This window comes from Homo sapiens, chromosome 4 (assembly GCF_000001405.40).
Source record: "Homo sapiens chromosome 4, GRCh38.p14 Primary Assembly".
Lineage (NCBI taxonomy): Eukaryota > Metazoa > Chordata > Mammalia > Primates > Hominidae > Homo > Homo sapiens.
In genome coordinates, this window is record NC_000004.12 from 52783107 (window position 1) to 52789522 (window position 6416).

Here is a 6416-nt window from a genome sequence, read left to right on the forward strand (position 1 = left end):
CTAGACCCCTTTCCCTCTTGCCTACCCAAGACATTGTTCCAACAGTTCTTCTTTCTCCTACATTGGAATGTTTCCTCTTCTTCTTCAGGATCATTCCCATCTGCAGACACACATGCTCTTGTTTCTCCTGTTCTTCAACATGCACAGGCACGCAGGCATGGGCACACACTGCACTTTCCTTTGACGAATACTTCCCCAGCTAGCTACTGTCATACTTGTTTGAGAGTGAAAAGCTTTCCAGATGTGTCTGTACTCACTGTCTCTAAGCTTCGTCCCCTCACTTTCTCTTAAACCCGCTCTTACCCAGTTTTTAGTTCTACCCATTCCATCAAATCTGCCCTCCTTGGCTGAGGCTGCTGGATCCACCCATCAGTTCTCAACCCTCCTTTTAACTTGATCCCTTAGTAGCATTTGATACTTTGGGTCACTCCTTTTTTTTTTTTTTATTATACTTTAAGTTTTAGGGTACATGGGCACTACGTGCATGTTAGTTACATATGTATACATGTGCCATGTTGGTGCACTGCATCCAGTAACTCATCATTTAACATTAGGTATATCCCAAATGTTATCCCTCCCCGCTCCCCCCACCCCACAACAGGCCCCGGTGTGTGATGTTCCCCTTCCTGTGTTCATGTGTTCTCATTGTTCAATTCCCACCTATGAGTGAGAACATGCGGTGTTTGGTTTTTTGTCCAAAGGGCTAATATCCAGAATCTACAATGAACTCAAACAAATTTACAAGAAAAAAACAACCCCATCAAAAAGTGGGCAAAGGCTGTGAACAGACACTTCTCAAAACAAGACATTTATGCAGCCAAAAGACACATGAAAAAATCCTTATCATCACTGGCCATCAGAGAAATGCAAATCAAAACCACAATGAGATACCGTCTTACACCAGTTAGAATGGCGATCATTAAAAAGTCAGGAAACAACAGGTGCTGGAGAGGATGTGGAGAAATAGGGACACTTTTACACTGTTGGTGGGACTATAAACTAGTTCAACCATTGTGGAAGTCAGTGTGGCGATTCCTCAGGGATCTAGAACTAGAAATATCATTTGACCCAGCCATCCCATTACTGGGTATATACCCAAAGGATTAGAAATCATGCTGCTATAAAGACACATGCACACGTATGTTTATTGTGGCACTATTCACGATAGCAAAGACTTGGAACCAACCCAAATGTCCAACAATGATAGACTGGATTAAGAAAATGTGGCACATATACACCATGGAATGCTATGCAGCCATAAAAAAGGATGAATTCATGTCCTCTGTAGGGACATGGATGAAGCTGGAAAAACCATCATTCTCAGCAAACTATCGAAAAGACAAAAAACCCTTCTGATCTTCTTTCTGTTTCACTTGGTTTCCAGGACACCAGACCCTTCTAGTTTTCTGCCTACATTAGTGCTTGCTTCTTCTCAGTCTCCTTTGCTATTTCTTCCTTTCTCTCCAACCTTATTTTATATTTTGTTTTTATAGAACAAACTGTAAAACAAACTTTGTCATCCAGGGTGGAGTGCAGTAGTGCAGTCATAGCTCACTGCAGCTTTGAACTCCTAGGTTCAAGCAATCCTCCCGCCTCAGCCTCCCTAGTAACTGGGACTACAGGAGCACACCAACTCCCAGCTAAGTTTTTTATTTTTTTGTAGAGAGGGAGTCTCGTTTTGTTATCCAGACTGGCCTCGAACTCTTGGCTTCAAGTGATCCTCCTACTTCGGGCTCCCAAAGTACTGAGATTACAGGTGTGAACCACTGCACCTGGCCCACACAACGTAGCTGGAGTATCTGAGAGTATAAACATCAGAACTTTTCTTCGTTTGATCTAAATACATTTTATTGGAGACTTTACTTAGTCTTATGGTATATTCTGAATGTTTCTATCCCCCTCAAATTTAAATGTTAAAAATGTGATCATCGGCTAGGCGCAATGGCTCACACCTGTAATCCCAGCACTTCAGGAAGCTGAGGCAGGCGGATCACAAGGTCAGAAGTTCGAGACCAGCCTGACCAACATGGTGAAACCCCATCTCTACTAAAAATACAAAAATTAGCTGGGCGTGGTGGTGTGTGCCTGTAATCCCAGCTACTCAGGAGGCTGAGGTTGGAGAATCGCTTGAACCCAGGAGGCAGAGGTTGCAGTGAGCCGAGATTGCACCACTGCACTCCAGCCTTGGCGACAGAGTGAGACTCCATCTCAAAAAAAAAATAGTAATAATCAATTCAGTGGTATTACGTGGGGCATCATAGGACCAAAGCTCTCACTAATGGGATCAGTGCCCTTTAAAAAGAGGCCCCAGAATGCTGCCTGGCCCCTTCTGCCATGTGAGGACAGAGCGAGAAGACATCTGTCCATGAAGAAAGTGGGTTCTCACCAGACCCTGAATCTGCTGGCACCTTGATCTTGGACTTCCCAGCTTCCAGAACTGTGAGAAATAAATTTCTCTTGTTTAGTCATATTATCAGGTATTTTGTAACAGCAACCTGAATGAAGTAGGGTATATAGCTTTAAAACACCATGCTGACGACAATAACTCCTGAATTTATTTCAAAATTCCAGGCCTTTCTCCCACACTCCAGAAGTACATCTATTAATATCTCCACTTGGATGTCTAATAGACAAGCTCAACTCCTGATGTCCCATCTCAGTTAAAGGCAACTCTGTCCCCAAGGTGGTCACATCAAAAGCCATGGAGTGAATCCTGGACTCCTATTCTTCTCACAGCCCACATCCAATTCTGGCTCTGTAGAAATCCTGTTGGTGCTACCTTCAAAACATATCCAGTGTCCAACTACTTTTGGCCACCTTCACTACTTCCATCCTTTCTGGTGTCACCATAACCATGTGTGTGTGTGTGTGTGTCTGTGTGTGTGTGTTTTGAGATGAGCTCTTGCTCTGTCACCCAGGCTATGCTCCATCATAGCTCACTGCAACCTTGAACTCCTGGTCTCAAGTGATCCTCCTGCCTTGGCCTCCCAAAGCACTAGGATCACAGGCATGAACCACCATGCCCAGCTCAATTACTTGATTTTGATGCTCATATTCTATTGTTTGTCTCCTGTCTCCCCACACTGGAATGTGAGTTCCATGAGGGCCAGAATCTTCGTCTGTTTTGTTCACTGATGTACCACAGATGGAGAGAACAGAGCTTGGCATACAGAGGACACTCAATAAATATTTGTCAAATGCATTAAATCAATAAGTAGAAAAATCAGGTGGTAAGATTTTCCTGGTAATGATGATGATGATGATCATGATGATGCTGATGATAGCTATCTTTTATTGAGCACCTACAATGTGCCGTTGACAGGCTATGCACTTTATCTCATTTCATTTTCAAAACAATCACCTAGCATAGATACCTTTATTTACCCTATTTTTCAGATGGAATCTGAGGCACAGAAAATTTCTGTAATGACGCTGGTCCAAGTGCAGTGGTGTTTACAACTAATAGATCACAACCAGTTACATAACTCTTTGTTCCTTCTCCATTCCCACTGCTTCACTAGACTAGCCTTTAAAAACTTTAAAAAAACATTTAAAAAAGAGAAAATTTTTGTAATTTGTCCCAGATCACCACCACTGGAGGAGGCAGAGCCAAGATTAAACCCAGAGCTGAGTGCTCAACTTCCCCACTATTCTTATGCATTTCTGGAGTGAGTATTAATTAGTGCAGGTTTTCTGGAGGGTAATTTGACCTCAGCTTTAAAAAGGATATGTTCATACATTTTATTGCAGAGAACTACTGACAGATATGCACAAAAGTCTATGCACACCAACGTTATAATAAACAAACAACCAAACAAATAAAAAATCAGGAAGAACCCAACTTATTCATAGCAGGTACATTCATACAATGGAAAACTACGTAGCCAATGATACAACACTTTAAAAGAATGTAATGACATGGAAAAACCTTCATACCATGTGGTAAGCAGAAACAAAAGAATAACAAGAAACCAGGATATAAAACTGCGTACATGTCATGATCTCCTAATTTAAAAAATTTATGCATAAAAAATAACTGGAAGGAGGACACCAAAATATTAATAATGGTTCTCCTGATACTGTGATTATGGGTGCCTTTTATATTCTCCTGAATAAATTTAAGTGTAGCTTTTTACAGAAAAATAATAATTATTATTATTATTATTATTACTTTAAAGATGGAGTCTGGTTCTGTTGCCCAGGCTGGAGTGCAGTGGTATAATCATAGCTCATGGCAGCCTCCAAACTCCTGGGCTCAAGCAATCCTCCCACCTCAGCCTCCTGGGTAGCTGGGACTGCAGGTGTGTGCCACCACACCTGGCTATTTTTAAATTTTTTGTAGAGATAGGGTCTCACTTTGTTGCCCAGGTCAGTCTCAAACTTCTGGCTTCAAGAGATCCTCCTGCCTTGGCCTTCCAAAGTGCTGGGATTATAGGCATAAGCTACCATGCCCAGCCAGAAAAAGTTATTTTTTATTTATTTATTTTTTTGAGATGGAGTCTCACTCTGTCGCCCAGGCTGGAGTACAGTGGCGTGATCTCCGCTCACTGCAAGCTCCACCTCCTGGGTTCACACCATTCTCCTGCCTCAGCCTCCCGAGTAGCTGGGACTACAAGTGCCCACCACCGTGCCCGGCTAATTTTTTGTATTTTTAGTAGAGACGGGGTTTCACCATGTTAGCCAGGATGGTCTCGATCTCCCGACCTCATGATCTGCCTGCCTCGGCCTCCCAAAGTGCTGGGATTACAGGAGTGAGAAAAAGTTATTTTTAAAAGGAGTCTCTGCTTCAACATTAAAATGTGCTTTTCCATTTATAAAATATGTTAATAAAATTTATTACAAAATTACACATACCTGAATAGCTGAAATAAAAGATTAGATATCCGTGAAATATCAAAGGGCTCCTAAGAAGTTAGAATGCAACAACTATATTTCATATACCCAATTTTTTCCAATATATATCCATATATCAATTTTTCCATATATCAAATTTTTGTATTGCATATCCTCATCTGGATAAAACATATTGAACCATTTCATTTAAGCACACTAGATTTTCAATGTTTTAGTAAGGTTTAGCTTCTCTTTCCCTTTCTTTTGGAGGTATATTCCTTAAAATGATGTTAAGTTCTCTTTGGAGCACTTGGTTCTCTTAACCAGGAGAGAAGTAATTCATTCCATAGCAGAGTGCCTTGATAAGTTGTTTCAGACATTGCAAATAAAATGTATTTACACTGTTTCATCACATTAAGAAGTTACTGTATTAAACGCATTCCTAGGCAATACTTACATGTAATCTCTCTTAACTCCATTCCTGGAGAATTATCTTCTTTACTTGGAAAACATCACTTTTTTTTTTCCTGATTACAAGTCATTCTGAGAGATGTCAGAAACCTATATGGTGCAAGTGAGTACTGTGGGTTTTCTTAACATCAAAAATAAGATCAATGCCTGAATGATTAGTTAACTTACTAAACAAAGAAAGAAAAGAAAAGGACACCTTTGAATTCGCTCATAGAGCAACTTGAAAGATTCAAAAATGTTAATGTTTCTAGGTTAATAGTCATGCGACTGAAGTGACTTTTGAAATATATAATTCCTGAAGCCTAGATAGAATCTTAACATTCTTGTGGGTTTAAAGGTGAAATGTTTCAAAGGATTGGGAATGAATGTATTAACAGAGAGGCTATGAAGAGAATGAAAGAGCTAACAGAAAGTGCCACACTGGAGGGGAACACACACACACCAGTGTGCACACACGTGCACAGCCACACACACACACACACACACACACCTGTTCATATAGCTCCTACAGCAAACTGGGCTCAGTTTTGAGAACTTGAATATGAGCCAAATGCCTGCTCAAGGGAATGAGTCCAGCCTAGGTCCGCATAGCCCGAGAGACGGGGCCAGCTATCGAAGAAAGAATGTAGGAGCCATCAACATCGAAACCAGAAACAATGACTGGAGACCTGAATTCCAAACCTGGAATGTAGAATATAAAGGAATGGAGAAGCACATTGTTTTCAGAGAATCCCAGAGCTGAAACACTGGGAATAAGAGGAGAAGAATAATTAACATGTATGAAATCCAGAAATCCTGTGGACCAGTAATGATCAGCAAAATGCCTGGCCAGGGCTGGAAGCCCCAAGGGCCACTGCCTATGGCTAGTTTTCCCAGCATACCCTAACCTCTTTCAGTGCTGCTGGGACCTCTGCCCTTCTCATCTCAGGCCCACCTTCCTGCAACCCCTTCAGCAGGGAAGAAATGTCTGCCTGGGAGATCCCTCTCCTAGGATCACGACCTTCAGGGAGCAGTCAGGCCAGAACATCAGGGTTTCGGAGGCCATAGGGAAGGGAAGGCCACCAGTGCCCTCTCAGAGGCCCCTGCATGGAGCCCATGGTGTCTGGCATTTT